Consider the following 21,472-nt stretch of genomic DNA (forward strand, 5'->3'; position numbering starts at 1 on the left):
TTAGGATAAGTACTGGTCTCTATGCTACTGCTGTAGGGACTTGCCTTCTCCTGGGATCCATGTGCATCAATGCATGTGTGTGCATATATGTCATATATGTATTGTGCACGTGTGTGTGCACATGTGCATCTGTGCCTATGTATGGTGTGTTTGTACGTGAGGGTTTTTTGGACCTGGAGAAGCAGTCTCTGTGGTCCTCTGGTTCGCCTGCCACCTGAGCCCACAGAGAGGCCCAGAACCTTGGAGCTATATCCTTTCTTTGAGCACAGTGGGGATGTTGGGGGGTAAGCTGCGCAGGCCAGGAATGAAGCTGGCCCTAGTTTTGTCCACCTTCTTGGGGCTTATGGAGACCATCCTGAGGTCCTTCCTCCCAGTTTGCCCGTGTTGGCCCAGACAGGCCTTTTGGTTGGCAGCATCTGGTACTGTGCTGAGCCAGGCTGCCTCTGGGCCATGTGGCAGGAGGGGCTGGGCGCCCACTGTCCCCAGCAACCTCTGCGTGCAGGAGTCAAGGCCAGAGGTGGAGATCTGCTCCCCAGTGGCAGGAGACCAGAGAACAGAAACATCCCGGGGCCTTCATGTATCCTCTGACCACCCTGGGCTTGGTCTCACCTGCCAACATGCCAGGCAACAGTCCATTCTGGTTTTAGAACTATGACATCCAGTATGGTATCAATTAGCCACATGTAGCCATTTAAATGGAATCAATTAATTGATTGTCAATCAACCCATTAAGCTAATTAATTAAAATGAGATTAAACTTCCATTTCCTCAGTGGCAGTTAACCACATTCACGTGCTCAGCACAGAGTATTTTTCTTATTGCAGAAAGTTCCGGTGAATGTTGTTGCTCTAGAGGGCAGCGCCGAGCACGTCCCCATCACCTGGGTCAGATGAGTGACTGCAGTGGAGATTTCAGGGACCTTCATGTCTCCTGTACCTCCTGGCTTTGTTCTTGAGCCCCATCTATACTGACCACAAGGTCAGGGCCTCCACGCTGTGCCCATCATCCAAAGCCTTCCCGGGCAAGGCCAGGCTGTTAGATTTCATCTGACACATGGGAGAAGACAGGCTGAGGACAGGGCACCACCTTTGTTCCTTTTTTTTTTTTTCCTATATGCCAGCCGCTGTGCTGCACGTTTTACATGAGAGTAACAACAGTAAATAATGATCGCAGCCATTTTTTGGATGCTTAACATGTGCTGGACACTGGGATTTCCCTTGTGAGCCCTCAGTGCCCACCCAGGAGCTGGGGCTACCATGGTTCTCACTGAGAGACTGAAACCTCCCAGACTGGGAGCCACACCCAAGCTTCCCCCATCAGTAATGGAGGGATGTGATTCTGGTTGAATTCTGTCTGTAAAGCCCATTGCCAAGCAACCCCACCGTCTCATGTTCCCCTTTTTATTGGAATAATGATAACCCTTTAGCCTGCACCTTAACATATATACTTTCCCCCGTTGAACATCACTTAGGGGTGATTTTGCGGGAAAACCAGATGTGGACTTCGTTGGCTTGTTTCGATGTCCTCCACGTCCCCTGCCTTGTTTTTGCTTTCCTTGATGGACTCTCAGACGCTCTTAATTTATCATTTCCATTTGTAAAGCTGTCATCTTCTGGAAAGTTAAGACCGTTTGTCTTCAGGTGATTACACAGGTTCTTTCCCCTCTGAAGAACAAACAGTTTACATTAAGTATTAGCATCCTTAGAGAAACCAGGACCAGCTGACTTAATTGTAAACATCAAGATGAACTCCAAGTATGTTTTTCCATCACAGGAATCGTCAATGGTATTTTCTGGTGAGAGGTTTCAGTTTAAAGTCCCTGGTCAATCAGTGCTTAACTCTCAGGAGGAAATTAAAGAAACCACTTGAAAATGGCTGAGAAATAGAAAAAAAAAAAAAAAAAAAAAAAACAAACCCAAACTCTCTTGGCTCCAGCAGGCATTCTGAAAAGGTGGACAGAAGGTCAGCTGAGTGCTAAATGCTGTTCCCCGCTCTCTGGTTGTCCCTGGGCACATCCAGCCCAGCAGCTCTGTGATGAGGGAGATGGAGTGGTTGCTTTAAAGATGACTTTTGGCGGGCCACCGCAGTCTGTTAAGATTGTAAAATACGTGCAGCAAGCATGGGTGGGGAGAAGGACTCTCGCTTGGGCTGGTCTTTAGAAAATGGAAACAAACTCACTATCTACGAAGAGATCAGTTTGCGCCTGATTTGGTTTTAATGCTAAACCCTATGAAATGATCTTAAGCAGAAAAATCAATTTCCCAGAAGTCTCAGATGTACACTGTAACTCTTATATTTGAACTGAATCTTGGTAGAGTTAAATAATTGAGCTTGCTTTCTTTAAGTGATACAGATGTATTTCATGCTAGGAATAACGCGTGAACCAGAGGGTGCCGAGAGGAGGCTGGACAGGAGCCGCTTGAGGTCACGCCTGCCAAAAGGGGTGGGGCCAGGGTAGCACCAAATCTCAGTCATCTTTCCATCCAGAATAAACCAGGAGGGGTGGGAACCAGCTGCAGGATCAGAGCTGGAATGGGCTGTGTTGATGCAAAGGAAAGTGAGCACAGGCTTTGAGAGGGTAGGGAGAACTGCCTGACAGAGGCCGGTTCTGAAGAGAAGGAAAGGAAGGGACAGTTGTGTGACCTCATCACAGTTTATCCTGACTCCCCATCTCCTGCTTGGGTTGACCCGGGATCTGCAACTTTTCAGAGTCTCAGTTTCCCATCTGCAAAATGAGAGTTCATTTTCTCCATCAGTAGCATTTGTTGACTGTATTGGGTGCTGGGAGGCGGCAGCGGACAAGATAGATAAAGCCCTGGTGGTGGAGGCTGACAGCCAGGAAGCCAACAAGTATGCAGACATGTTTGGTGTGGAAAGTGCTAGAAGGAAGAACGTGGTTAACAACTGTATCTGATTCCTAGCGTCCTTCCGGGGATGGAATATGTGAACACAGCAAGGAGCCCAGGGAAGTGCTCTAGAAATTTTAGCTTTTCCTACTCTGGGTTGTAACAATACCATAGCCATTCTTCTCAGTGTCATCACCAGCACTGTCTTCATTATGCAAGGAAGAGGGTGGAGAAGGAGAAGGAAAATCAGAAATGAGGGGAAAGAAATGAAGGTAGAAACATGAGGGCCGGTGGGGGTAGGTGGGTTCTGGGTTTATACCCTCTGAGACGTGGGCATATGTCGCTTGCCTTCTTCCCTTCTAAGCCTGGCCTTCAGCCCGTGCCCAAGCGCCCCCACCTCAGCTTGTCCGGGGGTGCTGTCAGCGAAGCTCTTGGGTCAGGGACGTGGCTTGGACCCTGTGGCTCTGCACATGGATACAAGAGGCATTTACGACTGGGTTTGGGCACAACTCTGGTGTGGGCACCTCCCTGTTGTTGAGAGGCCAGTGAAAGGTGAGGTTTGCTTGCTGGGCAGTTTGCTCAAGTTGAGAGCAGGGAGAGCCCCTAAATGCAGAGAGACAGCCATTCACGTTAATTTTATCCTTGCCTTTCCAAAGCTGGCCCTGGGGGTGCATTCATACTGAAGCCATGGCCCCTTAGGGCCTAGGCATCTGGACGGCCCTCCTGGCCTGCCTTCAGGTTGGAAAATGGCTGTTAGTGATCCAACCTTCTTTGGAGTGTTTTTAACAGCTGAATGTTTGCTTTGCCAATTTAGAATACAAGGTCCGTAAGGAAGGCATCGATAACCCCCGTTGTAAGGGATGATGTGACGGGTGTAGATAGAAAGCAGATGAGGGTTACTTGGAGGTGAAATGTGCTTTTCCATGCTCACAATTGAGGCCCTGAAATCCAAGCTCCCCCTGAGTTTCAATGGCTTGTATTTGTTTGCTTATTTTGGCTGCTCTCTCTGCTGTTGGAATCTCCTCTCACTCCCCTCTAGCAGGGCCGAATGACACACATCTAATCTAAGGTTCCAGGGCCGCTGCTGTCACCAAGCAGCTGTGTGACCTGGGCAGCCTTCTCAGATTCTCTGGAGTGCTAGCGGTTTCCTCCTCTTAAAGGGAGGGAGTCGTGCCCAACGTACAAAGTCAACCTTCCCCACTGCAGAATTCTGTGACTCCATGGCAGCTGGCTTCATTTGGAGAATTTGGTCAACACAAGATGAGATCACTGGAGATCATTCAGGGTCTGTGAACTGAGGCAGGGAACTAGTGTGTTAATTTTTTTTTTTTTAACACCTTCTATATTTGGACAAAAGTGCATTGGGCATACTTTGGTCTCTTTGACTGTCAAATCTTCATTACATTTATTTTATTTAATTCCTCCAGAAAGTCCTGGTGATATGTCGATTAACTTCCATCTAAAAGTAAAAACTTTGTGTGAAGAGGACTCCATTCACCAAAGAGGGCCTGACCTTCAGAGGTGAACTGTTACCAAGCGGCACCCCAATCAAGTGGCTTGGCTGACCTTGGTTGACCTCAGAGTGATGAGAAGGGTTCTCTCGTCCTCATTGTGCTGCAGCCCACAGGGGACATTGCTTTTGGCTTTTATCCAGAAGGAATGAACAGTAAATAAATGAGGAAGTATATTAGGCTGAACCGCTGACATTTGTATGCAGGATAGTAAATGTTTGTAGATGAAGAGCAGCAAAAGATTTTTTAATAAATGTTTTTGTGATGGATTTTATACTAAATCACTTCTTTACATTTCGACTAAAACTAACAGCTTAGATAATGGATCTGATGTTCATACCATGCATATACTCTGGTTTGATAAATCTTCAGCTAAGAGGACCTCCATGAAGCTGGATTCCCTCCGGACCGGGAGAAGATGGTATGTGGAATAAATTAACATGAGGGAAGTTCGGGGGGACCTGGGAAGGTCTGGACCCTGGCTGTACTCCGATTCGTGTCCTGCTCGGCTCCGTGCTGAGGCTCAATTGACGGTCTCCTTGGGTTTTCAGTTTGGGGCCGGACTGTGTTAAATAAAACTAGTGGAAGAAATGACTTTATGATGGTTCTATTTTCTGCATATTTACTCAAGAAAGCAAGAGACAGCCTGGGAGGAAAATGAAGGGGCTAGTGAGCCAGCGTGTGGAGGGCCATTGTGAATGAAGTGTTCTCTCTTCTCCTCTTCCTGGTCATCCCCGTCTTCTCGCCAAAGACACCAAATGGGGACAAGTATGCTGATCCCTTCGGCCCCTGGACGCAGTGTGGTGTTTGTGTCTGTTGCTGGCAAGCCCAGGCTGTGGGGTGGTTTCTTGCTTCCTTGTTCTGGCCTTTGTGGCCTGGGCTAGTCTCTCTAGCTGTGGACCCCGTGGGTTCTCCCCACCACACTCTGGGCAGTTTCCTCCCATCCTTTGCCCACTTCGCATCTTCCCCATGCAGAAAACTCTTCCTCTTCCTAAAAGATGCTCAAATACTGCTTCCTCCTGGAGCCTCCCTCTCCTCCTTGCTGCAGGCAGAGATGGGTGCTCTTGGCTTGTCTGGCCCTCATTTTCTGTCTTCTTGGACAACACCACCTGCAGTGTCAAGGAATTTCTTGCAGCAGAGTCTGTGTATCGCAAGACATCACCAAGAGTGCAGTGCCATATAATACAGATTCCTGAATCCAAATCTCTAGAGAGGAGCCCAGGAATCTGCATATCGAGCAAGTGTCTGTTATAATTTGGTGGTAAGCTCCTTGGGGGCAGGGGCTGTCAAGGTTACTTTCATCCTGGTGCCTAGCACCTATGAGGCACCCAGAGGGTGAGTGTGGAAAGAAAGAAGAAAGGAACAAACGAAGAAAGCAAGCTGTGAATCACAACGAAGCCCTCATCTCACATTTTACTGTGACTTTGCATGTGTCATGTAGTCTTCAGAATGATGAGTGGCCTCCATCCTGGTCCATTATGGTGTAATAGATTAAGCCATCCTTCAGAAAAAAATTAAGGACACTTGACAATGATAATTGCTGTTAATATCACTCTGGACATAGGTTTACTGACTGATGAGTTTAGAAAATTTACTTCTAAAACAACATTAAGTAATGTGAAAAATAGCCAATGGGAAGGTCAGAGAGGTGGGTGTGGCCTCACGCTCAGAGGCATGTGCGGGGAGAGAAATTGCATCTGTGAGGCCGGACAGGAGCTCCTCAGTAAGGCCACCCCCTCCGGTCCAGGCCTGGGCTGTGCGTTCACTGTGGACTGCAGCCCGGGGCGGTGCACAAACGTGGTGGGGCCCAGTCCCCAGTGCACGGTGAGACACCATACAGGCTGTGACAGCCTGCCAGTACCTTCTTGCTCTGATTTTCCTCTTCCCATTTTACATACTCACTTTCCCTGGTGAATAGTCCTTGGCAGGTTTCCCGAGATATCAAATTCCAGGAGAGAAAATACACAGGTCCTGTGTAAGGACTAAATAGAACTCTTAGTTTGAAACGACTTTTGTCAGGTGTCTGGGAAACTGCTCCGCCTTCAACTACGAGTTAATCAGACATAGAGCAGCATGTCCAGAACTTGGGCAAGGGGCCCTCCTCTGCTCTCTGTCACCTCCCTGACTCACCTTGGGCAGGTTACAACCTTTCTTGGGGCTGCAGGTTTCTCATCTCTCTAATTAGGGCCTTGGATGAGCTGGGCCAGGTTCCTTCCAGGTCTAAGAGCATGTAATTCTATCTACCTGCCTTCAGTCCCAAGCCACCACCCTCTACAGATGGGATTCATAATTCTGGGCTGCACTTAAAATACTTAGCTGGGTTGTGTGGCTGTAAAATAACCTTTAGCTTGCCTTGCAACTTGTTTGGACTTTTATCTAATCATAGAAACAGTTGAGGTGAGTGCTTTAAAAAACGTTTACTATGTAGGAAAGCTTACACTGGAATGCTTTCTGTGCTTACGGGGCATGTTTGCAGGTCTGGGAGATGTTACACAGATGACCGGAGAAGCGTTTCCATATGGGGTCATGGACAGGCAGCAGAGAGACGGGAGTGGCAATTGCTTTGTGGGCCAGGGTGATGTGTCATGAGGGGTTTGGCTCCAAGCTTTGGTTTTCTCATCTGTAACATGGGATCACACCCTTTTTCTAGGATTGTGTGAGTAGCAAATGCAGCAATAGTTCTTGCATATATGTGCAGAGCACTTAAAGTGGAGCTGGGACATAGTGAGAGCTCTATGAATATCAGATGTTATTATCACCATGAGCTACACTAATATTCTTCGCCTACTTCCCTCTTGTCACAAACATTTTCTTAGTATTGGGAGGAAAGTCATTTCTGATTTCAAAGCCCTGGTGACCTGATTCTCCTGGGTAACTTTAGCATCAGGATACGGTGCTGATCCCCAAAGGCAAAAGCAGTGTATCAGTCCATTTTCACACTGCTGATGAAGACATACCTGAGACTGGGCAATTTACAAAAGAAAGAGGTTTAATGGACTTACAGTTCCACGTGGCTGGGGAGGCCTCACAGTCATGGTAGAAGGCAAGGAGGAGCAAGTCATGTCTTACATGGATGGCAGCAGGCAAAGAGAGAGAGCTTGTGCAGGGAAACTCTCCCTTATAAAACTGTCAGATCTCATGAGGCTTATTCACTATGACGAGACAACATGGGAAAGACTTGCCCCCATGATTCAGTTATCTCCTACCATGTTTCTCCCACAACACATGGGAATTTAAGATGAGATTTGGGTGAGGACACAGCCAGACCTTATCAGGCAGTTTTTGGGTGGGGACACAGCCAAACCATATCAGGCAGAAAGAAGACAGCAGGGAGGGAGGCTCAGGAGCTTCTGACTCCTGGATATTTGGCTAGGGAATAGCTGGACTCAACCTTTGTTTGGCCCTGAGTCCACCATGGTTTCAACACAAGAAGTTTTGTGGCTCACAACAACCCAAGGTACCAAGAATGAAACAAACTCTCCTGTGGACTGGGGTGGTCCTGGGTATTACTGGCTTTCCCGGAGGCCCTGGCTGTGCTTGGGACGAGTTTCCACTGGGGCAACTGTGTCCTGTAAGGGAGTCTGTGTGTGTGTGCATCCACCCTGGCCCATCAGCACCTTGGGGACAGGGCCTGGGCTGGGACCTGCAAGTTCTCAGGAGCTCTGTTCGATGAGTGAAAGGGTGAGGGCTACACCTGCCGCTCTCCAGGAGACACTTGGTCTGGTGCAGCTCTTTCCGAGTGTGGGGCCTGGGAGGTCTTGCCCAGTGCCCCCAACATAGCTGCATCAGCCCCATCCTGAGTTTATGACTCCTGGGGAGGAGGGTGGGCTTACTGTGGCCAAAGTGCTCCCCACTGTTTGTGCAGCCATTGTGTGACCCCCTGACCTTTGACTCTTGTTGCCTGTAGTGTTATCTGGCAGCAGTATTTTTTAGGCAGCTCTATTGAGGTGCAATTAGCATACCATAAAATGTGCCTGTTTTAAGTACATGTCAATGATTTTTAGTAAATTCACAGAGTTGTGTATCTATCACCATCATCTAAATTTAGGACCTTCTCATCAACCTGAAAAGATCCCTCATGCCTATTTGCAGCTCCTCTCCATTCCCATCCCAGCCCCAGGGAGCCACCCTCTACTTTCTTCCTCTATAGATTTGCCTTTCCTGGACATTTCATATCAGTGGAATCATGCAATATGTGGTCTTTTTCAGCAGCATTATTGATTAATCTCCCTCCTGGTTCCTGGCAGGAAACAATTTGTATTTGTGTTTGGAAAGGACCCGGGGTCAGGCAGACACAGCTGCTCTTGCTGACATTGGCTGTGACCACACACTCGTCTGGATGGCTCCATCCAGCCCCTCCTGCTCACCTGCCACTCAGGGGCCACTGGTTCTTGCATCTTTTTCTCCATCCTTGATCTTGCTGCTGAGAACTGAACCCCTGTTTCTGTGTGGTGATGCATAGGTGTCTTCACTCCATGGATCTAGATCAGAACTCATCTGCCCTCGCCTCCTTCTACGTTAGTGAAGAGCATTGTCTTCCTTGGAGGGCAGATTTTTAGGTGGCCCTGTGCTCCTTGGTGGCCCTCTGTGACTTGATTCTAAATAGTAGTGGGGACTGTGACTTGCTTCTAAACAATAGAACACAGGGTAGGTGACGGGATGTATGCTATTATATGACTATGTGATGTAAGACTATAGTGCCAGTCTTGCTGGGTCTCTCCCTCCCTGCTGGCTCTGAGGAAGCAAGTAGGGACATCATATGGACAGGAACTCTGCCTCAGCCTGTTAAAGCTGAGGCTGGCCCCCAGGCAGCAGCCAGCAGAAAAGCCAAAGCTGTTTACAGCTGTGAGGAGCCAAATCCTGCCAACAACCACCAGCATGGGCACGTGAGTCCTTCCAGTGAAGCCCTGAGATGAGACCTCCATTCCAGTTGACACTTCATTTGCAGCCTGGTGAGACCCTAAGCAGTACACCCAGCTGGGCTATGCCTGGACTCCTAACCCACAGAAACTGTGGGATAATAAATGATTGCAGTGGGCTTCTGTTAGTATCCCTGCCCACAGTCTCTCCCAACCCACCTCCCACCTTAAGTGCCAGTGCCACCCTGATGCCCTGCACACCACTACCTGCAGGAAAGGACAAGGTCCTCACTGTGGCCTATAAGGATTTAACAGCCCAGTCCCAATATCCTCCTCCAGTTTTATCTCTGCTCCTCCTGACCACATCCCCATGCTCTGGCCACACTGAACCACTTGGTCATTCCAAGACGGTGTGGGCTTATCCCACCTCTGTGATTTGGCATCTGCTGTTCTCCCTGCCTGGAATGCCCTTCCATCTCTTCTCAGCCTGAAGAACTCTTATTCATTCTTCACAACCTCAGGTCCAATATCATCTCTTTTTGAAAGCTTCTGTGGACCCCTTAGACAGAAAGAATTTGGACTTTACTTGGCACATTGCTCTTTCCTTGTGTCCACTGATGGTGACATTGTATTTTAGTCTGTCCTCCAGTGCCCCCACTGGAGTATGGACAGTGGTTTGGACGTGTTCTTCCAATGTGTCTTCTTTCCCTGGTTCCCCTACTTTAGTGCCAAGCACCTCTGATGTTCAATAAATATCTTTAGAATGACTACTGGAGTGAATAACCGGCTGACCACTTCAATACATGAGCCAGAACCCCCAGGTGAACCGTGGACCATGGGCATCCTAACACCCCTTGGTTTGTAGGGAGTTGGGTGTGCAGGTTGGGTGGATGGGGGCCGCATGGGAGGTGAGTTTCAAATGTCGAGGTTCACTGTGGTCAGCTTTGCAGATCTGAAGGTCATGGTCCCTCTCCTACTGAGGCTGTTGCTCTCCCAAGTGCAGTGGCCATGAGACCTACAGCCCCTGCTGTTCTTTCTGCTTCAGTGCCCTCCTCCATCCACTGCTGGTGGCCCCAACACGTGGATGACAACTTGATAAAAGTCTCAAACTATATGGAAAGGGTCTGAGATACTGGCGAGCACTATCATCAAAATTGTGCCCACTCACCCGATAGATCCCCTTCCCCTCCCCGTGTGTTTTCCTCCCCAGCACTCTGGTGTACATGCTTTCTTCATTAATTTGCTTGTTTTCAGTCTCCCCCAGTTAGACTGTAAGCCCCGTGAGGGCAGGCATCTCTCTGTTCCAGTGATTTCTGTATCCATGTGCCTGGAATGATGCGGAGGGTGCCCATCCCACCCCATAGCTCTCCCTACACCCAGCTGCCTCCCTCCTTGACCTTTCTAAAATTCAAACCTATTATGTCGTCCCTTTGCTTAAATGATTTTATTGTCTTCCTATTCACTTTAGGATGAAGAAAAATAATCTTTACCTCTAAATATGTTTCATTTTATTAACTTACCCCACCCAGATTAAGGTAAAAAAAAACAAAAACTCCTCTTTTGTCAATTATACTCTAACTCAAATTATCATTCTAGCCGTAACCTAAAGTTACGACTAGAGATAGATTTTTGAATTTTTCTTCCTAGAGTTTATTTTTTATTTTTTATTTTTTGGAGACAGAGTCTCGCTCTGTTGCCCAGGCTGGAGTGCAGTGGTATGATCTCAGCTCACTGCAACCTCTGTCTCCTGGGTTCAAGTGATTCTTCAGCATCAGCCTCCCAAGTGGCTGGGATTACAGACACCTGCCACTATGCCCAACTAATTTTTGTTGGGGTTTCACCATATTGGCCAGGCTGGTCTTGAACTCCTGACCTCAGGTGATCCACCCTTCTTGGCTTCCCAAAATGCTGGGATTACAGGTGTGAGTCACTGTGCTCAGCCTTCCTAGAGCATTTTTATTTTAGAAAATAGTTTCAGTTTATTTTCATTGGTGATATAATGATTAATCCTTAAAGCCTTCTGGTAAGCTCCTTTCTGGTTATTATAATTTTAGGGGTGCAGAGCTAAGAGTGTGGGGGTAGGGAGTCTGAGAACCAGATGGTATCCAAGCAAACTGGGTTTTCTTAATTGGGTGGGATGGGGGGCGGTGGCAGAGGTGGCCGTGTGTCTGGCTGTATTATCCTTCACATGACTGGGTGGGATGGGGGGTGGTGGCAGAGATGGCCGTGGGTCTGGCTGTATAATCCTTCATGTGATTGGGTGGGACAGGGGAAGGTGGCAGAGGGGGCCGTGGGTCTGGCTGTATAATCCTTCACGTGATTGGGTGGGACAGGGGAAGGTGGCAGAGGTGGCCGTGGGTCTGGCTGTATAATCCTTCACATGGGTCATGATCCTTTGCCAGCCCATTCCTGTGTAATGATGGATATGGGTGGGGGTGAATGACTTCTCAGTATAATTTCTATCCATTTCATTTCCTTTGCAGAGGGAAGAGAGAAGCCCCTCCCATTCGCTTCTACTGGGGCTTGTTAGGCCATCGCCTTGGGGGCCGGCTGATCAGCGGCAGCCAGCAGCCGGCGGCTTCGGCAGGCAGGAACAAGGACAGCCTGTGGCTACTGCAGCCCCACTGCCCGGCCATGCTTCATGATGGGGGAGAGTGCCTTGGGAGGAATATACAGGCAAATCATGTTAGCATCACAGAGCCCACTTAATTCCGTATGGGTTGGTATTTGGGGAAGAAATCGAGGACGAATTGGTGTTGGACCCAAAGCTGGGCAGGGACCAGTGTGCATGGCAAGGTTTTAATGCCAGTAAGTTTTTCAGGGTGATTTTTTTTCTGTCCCTGAGTCAGTGGAATAGAATGGAAATGCCATGTCTAGCTACTTTAGGGAGCACAGTGTGAAGAAGACAGCCTCCTCTAAGCTAGCACTGTTTGTGTAATATGTGGTCCTTAGACATTAAAATGAAGCCCTTTGTCACCAACTGTAGAGCCCCCCAAAACACCCTCATTTGGTGTTTTTGTTCCATTTTAAACCATGAATGGCATCCGCTCCCTCCAGTACTGATGTGAGGTTTTTCTGTGTTGGATCAAAACCAAATGCTGTTTTATGTCAACGTAAGGAAGGAAACTAGCAAATGCATGAGGTCAATCTCCATGGCACACTTCCACCCCAGGGGCTGTACGAGAGGAAAAAAATGTGCTTCATGTCCCAACCAAAAGCATTCTCTGTCTGAGGACTGTTGCCCAAGTGTGAAGTAGGAGACTCGTGCAATTCAAAGGCACCTATGTGATGCCCATGTGGAGCCCTTTTCTTAGCCAGGCACGACAGGTATGGAGCCGGCTCTGGGAAGTGGGATCTAGAATGACAACCCTTGGCACAGGGCTAAGGAGCTTTAGGAGTGATGAAATCTCATTGTACCACTGCAAACAGAAGCTGCATCCCTGCCTGGGAAGGATTAGGTCGCCTCCTAGGCAGGAGCAAACATTTGGTGGAAAGGACTAGGAGGTTGGCTGCTTGCTCTTCTCTTTCAGCAGTGACATCTCCACCCTGCCTGTCCCACCTCTCCAGAAAGGTAGGTCTGGGTACTAAAGCTCAAGTGGACTAGAGGCTCCCAAAGCTTCTCCCCATGCCATCTCCCCATTGGCTGCTGGGTTCAGTGGTGGCCGCCCCTTGGGTACCAGGGGCTCCTGGTTCTACAATGAGAAGCTGCAGGTTACAGCTGTAAGTTTTGTCCTCATGTTAACCCCCTTATGCTGTCTCCTCCAATAATGCATGTGGTTTGGTCTCTACAGGACTCCCAGAGGCCTATGGACTGGAGCTATTAACATCCTGCAGATGGGAGCCACTCTCTCACTGTGATCACCAAGGTACCCAGGGCCTCCGGAGGCCACAAAGAATGGATAATTGCAACCCACAGGTCTCCTTCAGATTTTCCCCAAGCCCTTCTGGTCAGCAAATGCTCTATGGCAAGTCTGGGGTTTGGTCTTTACTTCTGGTGCCAATTAATTTCATCTCCCTTTTCTCTTTGGTCCGTGGAATTACTCTGCACTCTTTGCAATGATGTTTAGTAATTTTCATCGACTGTGGAGCAGCCTGCTGGGACCCTGCCAGCTGATCTTAACAAGCCCACTTACTGCAGGATTCCCACTGCTTTCCTGGGCTAGGAATTCCTTAACCAAAGGCAAGTTTCCAAGGAGATCCTTGAGAAGGTGCCTCATTATTAATATTTTGATGTCGAAAATGTTCATTCTGCAAGTTGCTTGCAAGGTGGGCCAGTGTGTTTTGGAAGAACAGGGTGGGCCTTGAGCAAACTGGGGGGCAGGGTGGGATTCGGACTCCACTCCCTCCACCTTTGTCCTTCTCTCTTCTTCTTGCTCACCCTCAGAACCCCTGGGCCCCCTTCCTGGCTGCAGCCCCTCATGTCTTCTCCATGTGTTGACACTGAAACCTGTCTTGTGCTAATTGCTGACTAGGCATGAATGCATGGCAATTGTTGGCTTGTTTCCTCTCCTGGATAACTTTTTCCTCCTTTTCATGTTAGATAGAGCCTTTATGTCTTAACAAGAGGAGGCCACTCACATGAGGTTTTGGGTGCACCAGTTGGGTGGGTTCTGAACTTCTGGCCCCCTTCCAAGTCTCAAAGTCTGGTTGACCATGTGTGTTGTGCCAAGCTATGCCTGGCCCTGGTACTGGCTCCAAGGAGGGGCATCAGGCTGTGTGGTGGAGACGGGCAGTGACCCCTCCAGCCCCCGCTGCTCCAGCTGCAGCTGCAGAGTGTACAAGGGGAGAGTCTCTGGATACCATGAGGCTCCATGGGTGTATTCAGAAAGACGAAGCACCCTGTGTGATGCACCTGCACCCAGGCTGATGGGGACACCTGCGAGGACAGACTGGGGCATTAAATAGATGGAGGGAGCTTTGCTTTAGAAAACACACACTAGGAAAGTGGAATTTGCCATCAGGCAGGCTAAGGGGTGGTCTGCTTACTACACTTGGAGTCTATTGCCCAAGAGCTGATGAAACAGTTCAGGAAAAAAACCAGTCAAATAAATGAAGAAGAATGATGCTTACAAATGTAGTATGGGGTTTGATCTTGACAACGATTCGTTGATGTCTTCCCAGATTCCCCAGACATGGGGTCAGAACTACCAGGGGCAAAGACCATGCTTCTTTGGAGAGATTGAGTGGTATTCTCTAGGTCTGGAGCAGCCCTGTCCAGGGAATGCCATACTGGGAATGTTCTTCATCTGTGCTGTCCAAGATGGTAGCCGAGCATGCAGTGTGGTTAGTGCAATGGAAGAACTGAATATTTGATTTCATTTACTTTTAATTAATTTAAATTTAAATCTGAATGCCCACATGTGGCTAGTGCTGTCTAGGCCAGTGTGCAGAGGTGGTAGTTGGGGAGGAGCATTGGAGGGAAATGGAGACGTGACCCTGGAGAGGTGGTGGGAACAGATGGAGAGGACCTTGTAAGGTGTGTGAGCAATTCGAGACTTGTCCCTGGAGATGACAGGAAGCCACTGAAGGGTCTAAGCAAATGAATGAATACTCAGATTGATAGTTTAAAAGACTTGGCTGGGTGCGGTGGCTCATGCCTGTAATCCCAGCTCTTTGGGAGGCCGAGGCGTGTGGATCATGAGGTCAGGAGTTCGAGAACAGCCTGGCCAACATGGTGAAACCCCATCTCTGCTAAAAATACAAAAATTAGGCGGGCATGGTGGTAGGTGCCTGTAATCCAGCTACTTGGGAGGCTGAGGCAAGAGAATCGCTTGAAACCGGAAGGTGGAGGTTGCAGTGAGCTGAGATTATGCCACTGCACTCCAGCCTGGGCCAAACAGCGTAACTCTGTCTCAAAAAACAAACAAACAAACAAAAAAAACAAACCTCTAACTCCCCACCCCAACCTGGAGTCCAAGTAGAGAAAGAATGGGGGCAGGAGGGCAGGCAGAGAAGGCTGTTGTGTGTGGAAACATCCATCCATCTACATGCACACCTACACACAGGTGTAAGCCAATTGGTACAGAATTGTGGGGAATGCGTATTGCCAGGAGCCGTGCCAAGCACTCTGCATGCCAGATAATTGCACCACCAGCTCTGAAATATTCTGAAGGGAAAGTTTTAGGGGTTTGTGGCCAAGCTATTGATTGGTGACAGGGGCAGAGAGAGGCACAGAGAAAGACTGAAGATGCCTCCAATGCCTGAAGATGCCGCAAATGCCTGGCTTGCAGGTCTGGGGAGCATCCCTCAGAGAGACGGGGAGGCCATGGAGAGAAGCAGGTTGGACTACACTGAGTTTGGGTTTCACACCCCCTACCCCTGCCACCTTAAGTAAACCTAAGGATCCCACCCGCCTTGAGCAGACCCCATCCCCAGGTTCCATATCTCCACCTGGGGACAGGAGGGCAGGCTTCCCAGAACAGGGGGAGGCTGACCCTGGACAGAGGCCGTAACGGCTGGCAGAGGTGTTTCTTCCTGCCCAGAAGGAGTGCTCCTCTGCCCCTGGCATTAGAGAGGAGATACTGTGAGCAAAGTACATACGCTGTAAGCAAAGTGGTCGCTCTGCTCAGAGTGATGCTGAGTGGTGCTTCTTGCAGAGGCCACACTGAGAAGCAGAAACAGTGCCAGCCACACTCGTGGCCCCTGAGAAAGGTGGTGTTAGCAGCACAGAGAGGAGATCAAGGAGCTCCTGGAGCATGTTCCAGAAAATGGTGTGGCAAGTTTCTAACTCATGAGGTTGCCATTTTATTTATTCACTTATTTTGTTTTTTCAGACAAGGTCTCGCTCGCCCAGGCTGGAGTGCAGTGGCGTGATCTTGGCTTAATGCAAACTCCGTCTCCCAGGTTCAAGAGAATCTCAGTCTCCACCTCCTGAGTAGGAAGGATTACAAACGTGCACCAACACACTCAGCTGTTTTTTGTATTTTTAGTAGAGACAAGGTTTTGCCGTTTTGGCCAGGCTGGTCTTGAACTCTTGACCTCAAGTCATCTGCCCGCTATGACCTCTCAAACTGCTAAGATTATAGGCGTGAACCACCGCTCTCAGCTGCCATTTATTTTATATAGTTATTTTTTTAAAAAGTATTTTCCTGCTTAAAAAAATGCATGTCAGTTGAACTAAACCAGTTCTGTCTGAGTTTATCCTTATTTATCAATTCTGAGGAAATAGTCATGGGCTGGTAAGGATGTTCCTCATGGCATGGCTTATCTCAATACATGGCATTTATTCGGGCAAACACAATGCTACAACTCTTCACCCTTTAAATGCCATGAAAAGAAAATATTTAAGGGCTTGAAAGTTATTCAGATTATGTTTATAACTGAAAAAAGGCATGTAGAGTATAATTGTGTTTTTGTTTTAAAAAACAAAAAAAAGTAAACTCATGGAAAAAAATTAGAATAATATACCAAAAATTGTGGTTATTCTGGAAAGAAGAATTAGAATTATAGATGTCTTAGAATTGTCTTCTCTTTCTTCATTTTTATGTATTTCCTACCAAAAGTGTGTATTACTGTGAAATGAGAAAAAACAAAACAAAACATGTTTTTGTTTGTTGAAGGACAAGCCAGAAGGAGGCTGCGGTGGAGGCGGAGCGGTGGGGAGGGTTCTGCCCTGGAATTTGGCTGCATCTGGTGAAGCTCATTGTCTTCGAGGTGTTTTTTTTTTTTCATGTGAAAATACAGGAAGGCTGTTTTCAGTGGATCTTTTGTCCTCAATCCAAAAGGTGTTTTTCTCCTCTAAGAAAGCAAAGTGCATGTTCTGCCTGGTCCCTATTGTGGAGCTGGCCCAGCGTGGATGGCTTAACTGGACTGACCTGCTGTGAGCAGCCGGCCGCACTGCAACTCCCACTCACTCAGCCAAGAGAGGCTATGGGGACCCAAGCCCTGCTTTGAGAGAGACTGTCTGAGGTGGCTATACAGAGCCCGGGGCCCTGCTGGTGGCAGTGACATGGCTGAAATGGGGTTGCCACTCAATTAGGTCACAGGATTCTGCCCCCAGGGGTCCTGACTCTGTCAGAAGAGTCCACTGGAGTGTGACGAGGGGTGCCTGTCATCAGAACCCAGCCTGGGCAGGGCCTTCTGCCAATGCCTCTCATAAGCAGAGCAAACACTGGGCCACAGAGCTGGGACCTCATGAATGGGACAGGCAAGACAGGTAAATTTTTTGTAATTGAATCCTCACTGTCTTCCTGCACACTCATTTGGCGGTAGGTTGGTTCACAGTCGGAGAAAAAGAAGAATTTTTCAGATGTTCGGATGTTTCTGATAAGCTCTGACTTTCAGGTCAAGGCAGAGAGGTGACTTTGCAAACAGCTAGGCTGGAGCTCCCTGACACCTGTAACCTCTTCCAGAGTCACTTTGGAAGCCTGAGTGACCCCACCAAAGTGGGGCATTGCTCAAACATTCAAACTCACTTTTTGGAACAGGCTTCAAAGCTTGATGCTCATTTGTTCGACTGTTCTTATAATGGCTGATTTTCTCTTTCTTTGGAAGTAGACAGAAACCATCCGGGGCTGAGAGCGTGATGAAGAATACAAGTGCCGAAGGAGGGGTGTGGCCTTTTAGAGCACCCTGGGGGCTGTTTTGAGGGCCAAAAGACTACTGGGTAGGAGACAGAATCTCCATTTGTAGTGGAGGAGTCAGAGGTGTGCAGAAATTCGAGGACTTGTCACTTGGGCAGAAGATGACGGAGCCACAGTTCAGAGCCAGTGCTGTGATTCTTAACTGCTCTTCAGTTCTGCTTGGAAAGGGAGGGAAGCCTGACAGATCCCATAGATGGCCCTCTGTTGGGGATGGCATGCAGCGACGGGGTAGATGGGTTCTAGTCAGTCCCAGGGCGAATGCTGTTCCTGTCCTGTGCCCCAGGCTGATTCTGGGTATGTGGGGGCCTTTCTAAATCGTAGTACTCAGGAATGATCCGAACAGCTGTTTCCAAATGTCTAGATGCATGAAGATAAATCACATGCGGACTAACTTTTTTGTATCTCATCCGAAAGTTCTGGTATACTTTCCAGCTATTGTTTCCCATTTTGTGCTGAGATCACATCTTCTTCTGGGCTGGGAGATTTATATTTTCCTTCCAATAAGACAGCCCGCCATTTAAAACCAGGCCTATGTGGATGCAATGTGAGCATAATCTATTTAGCACCTCCTTCCCCAGGGCTCTGACCCCTCAGTGGGGACCAGTGGCTCCCGCATCCACCTAGAAGTTAGGCTGTTGTTTTTCTGCCTTTTATGACTTATTTAGACTTTATCTTTAATATATATTCAGATGTTGATCTTTTCATGAGTTCAAAAAGGGCTTTTACCTTCTGGAGCTCCATTCATAAGGTTGCAGTAAGTTAAATGCATGCTTCATGGCAGCAGGTAGGGTTTTAAGTCCTTTGTTAAACATTTTAAAATTTTTGCTGTAGTAAATAGGTGGTGATTGTTACTATTTCTTTCTAGGAATTCTCTATTTCTTCTAGAATTAGAAGCCTTAAGAATTTTGTGTCCAAGTTTTCATAGTATTTCCTTTCTTCACCTCTTTCTCTCTGTCTCTTGTTAGAAGGGACCAGTAAGAAAAACATAAAAAGGTTGGGACTGGTGCGCACTGTTGCAAGGCTGTTAGGAAGAATAGGGCAGTTGTGCCCTGTTCTGAGGGGCAGTAAGGCAGTTTGGGGCCAGCTGTTGGCAGCATGAGGCTTTACCCATGGCCCTTATATTGCTGTGGGCAAGGAAGTAGTGATGCCAGGCATTTCTTTCTGTTTGGTAGAAAAATGGAATGTTAGTATCATATCAGTTAGCCAAATTAGGGTGCAGGAACACAATCTTTACATCTGAGAGTATTCCTTTTATGTTTAGAACCATTGCATTAGCCCCAAACCCCAGATGTATATTTGACTGGAAAGCACCTTTTCTTGAGCTGTAGAAGTCATGAAACATTGACCTGCAGAGTTCCTGGCCGCGCCAGGTTCTGGTCATGGGTGATGTTGGATGTGTGCTGAAAATGACTCCCTGTGGCTGGTGCTGTAGCAACAAGTCCGCGAGCTTCCTGCTCATCTCTTCTCTGACTATCCATGGGCTTCCCGCTGGGCTCTGCTAACATCCCCTTCTCTTCTGCCTCCCACTTATTCCCCCAGCCCCAAGTTGTGCAGAAAGCTGTTCTTTCTTGTTTTAATATTTTAAAAAAGAAAGCAGTGGCATTGTCTAAGGCAGAGATTCTTGGCTGATTTACTCATGCTAGGAATCAAACCTTTCTTAAAAAGCTGCCTTCTCTGCATGGTGGGTTTTAGATACTTGGACTGACAAAGCTGGCGTTGTTTTGAGAGGGTTAACTAAGATTAATGAGGAAAGAAACGTGAAGCCATAAAGGATCAGCGTTTCCAATCAATGACGGAATAAATTTAATGTGTATTCCATCTGCAGTTTCCTTGGCACAAATGTCCAGATGCCAATTCCAAAAGGTTTTGCCTTTTTATGCTTCTAAATAACCTACTAAGACAAGAACAGTGTGTATTTCAAGTGTAATAGTGCTTTATTTAAGGTTTATACTGCAGTCGATGTATTGATCAAGAGGAATTTGTAGAATACAGAGGTGTGTTTTAATAAGAGCTGGATAGAGTACCACAAACCTTGCTATTCCCAGGACTTTAACAATTGTGAATTGCAGTTTCAGCATCTTATTTGGGAGAGGAAGGAAGAGGAAAAAAATAATTAATTGTGATAGAGTAATGGGGACCACGAAATGGGGGCTCTAATCCCCACCAAATGCATGGGTAATGAAATCATGAGATTCTCTGTAGGTGTTCTGAAATAACTATCAGAAAGCAGCTCTGTGCATGAGCTTTTTAGAGACCGTGTATTTAAGCTGTGTGTAATTCCTTTTTCAGGTGGGGAGTGGTGTGAGGCCTTGGTCCATTTCATTGCTGACATTAGCCCTGCACCAGCGGGAGAACGTTTCTTCCTTTAATCACCCCAAGATTAGCCTGCAGTTGCCTCTTTCTGTTGGATATTTGAATAACAAGCTTGATGAGGCCACTTAACTCCCTCCAATTACAGGTGCCAAATGGGGGTACAAAAAAGAGAGGCCTTTTACATGTGTGAATGATTTCACAGTCCAGTGTCATAATCAGATTCTAGAAATTGAACTTGCAGAAAGTTTGTGCTAGCCTTGTGGATTTTCATTTCAGATGTTGTCAACTCAAGGGCATTTGGACCAATCAATATCTGTCTGTCTTCTCACACATAGAAAGTTGGCTATTAGAAAAGAGAGGCTTACAGCAGGGCTCAGCCAATACCATTAGCCCTAGCCTAAGGGCAGTTCTGTCCATGTGCCCGGGTAGGCACCTGCCCCCTCCCCTCCCCCACCATTAGGGAGGCCACTTGGGATGTCATTTGGACAGAGTGGGCAAAGAGCACTTCTTTATTCTCTCTCTTTTTTACACCCAGACTCCCCCAAAATCAATAAATCTGTTCTTTGCTTATTTTCAGAACTTTACTTCAATATAAGCAAGGACTTTCCTTCCAGCAACAAGCTCAAGTAACACCATGTCAGGCTTATGTGTGTGTGTGTTTTCTTTCTCTGTTCCAATTTGAAAAATAATTGGAAATAATATCTGATTGATGTTCTCTCTCTCTCTCTCTCTCTCTTTAGCTAAAGATTTCCTAGATGAAAGACCTTGATCCACTGCCTTTCATGATTCAGCACTGGATTTTCTGTTCCATGCAGCCTTCTATTGGAATAATTTTGTGAAATGAAGGCAACAAAGTATTGTTTTCTTAATCAAAGAGAACTTCATAAAAATTGTGCTCCTTGACTGCTAATTTGTCCTGCATTGTTACCGATGCTTTTCTTATGATTTTTGTTTTGCACTGAACAGCCCCCTGGCTGAGAGAAAACCCCGAAGCAGTTAAGATACCAGGAAAGGAAGACTTGAAAATTGGTTAGTGAAGATTCTGAGTATTTCCTGGTGCGTCTGGGAATTTTGTTTGTTTTTTGTGGTGATATTTCTTTCTCTCTGTATGTCTCTGTCTCTCTGTCTCTATCTGCATCTCTGCCCTTGTTAGAAGGGACTAATTAGAATGGCACAAACACGTTAGAATTGGAGATCATTGTTGCAAAGGCCCTTAGGAAGAGGGGGGCAGTTTTGGTCCATTCTGAAGGCTATCAAGGCGGTTTCCAGCTTGCTCTTGGCACGAAAAGGAATAACCAGGGCCATTTTAATGCCATGGGCAGGGAAAGCATGATGCAAAGCTTTTGGAGGGGCCACCGGGT

At 47.5% G+C, this 21,472-nt stretch overlaps 1 long non-coding RNA gene across 1 annotated transcript in view, besides 2 other annotated features; it reads left to right on the forward strand.

Annotated features, from left to right (window-relative positions):
- Positions 1-21,472, forward strand: part of LINC01163 (long intergenic non-protein coding RNA 1163) — a 31,777-nt gene that overhangs the window by 8,392 nt on the left and 1,913 nt on the right. The window contains exons 3-5 of the long non-coding RNA NR_120619.1: positions 11,700-13,181; positions 20,088-20,256; positions 20,852-21,140. This is a non-coding gene — a long non-coding RNA (long intergenic non-protein coding RNA 1163). The remainder of the gene's footprint in view (positions 1-11,699; positions 13,182-20,087; positions 20,257-20,851; positions 21,141-21,472) is intronic.
- Positions 16,613-17,113: an enhancer, noted in NCBI's record as "H3K4me1 hESC enhancer chr10:130109218-130109718 (GRCh37/hg19 assembly coordinates)". NCBI's record gives its function as "activates a minimal SCP1, AML or CMV promoter by ChIP-STARR-seq in naive H9 embryonic stem cells {active_cell/tissue: H9 hESC(naive)}" and the evidence as "EXISTENCE:reporter gene assay evidence [ECO:0000049][PMID:30033119]".
- Positions 17,114-17,614: an enhancer, noted in NCBI's record as "H3K4me1 hESC enhancer chr10:130109719-130110219 (GRCh37/hg19 assembly coordinates)". NCBI's record gives its function as "activates a minimal SCP1, AML or CMV promoter by ChIP-STARR-seq in naive H9 embryonic stem cells {active_cell/tissue: H9 hESC(naive)}" and the evidence as "EXISTENCE:reporter gene assay evidence [ECO:0000049][PMID:30033119]".

This window comes from Homo sapiens, chromosome 10, assembly GCF_000001405.40.
Source record: "Homo sapiens chromosome 10, GRCh38.p14 Primary Assembly".
NCBI lineage: Eukaryota > Metazoa > Chordata > Mammalia > Primates > Hominidae > Homo > Homo sapiens.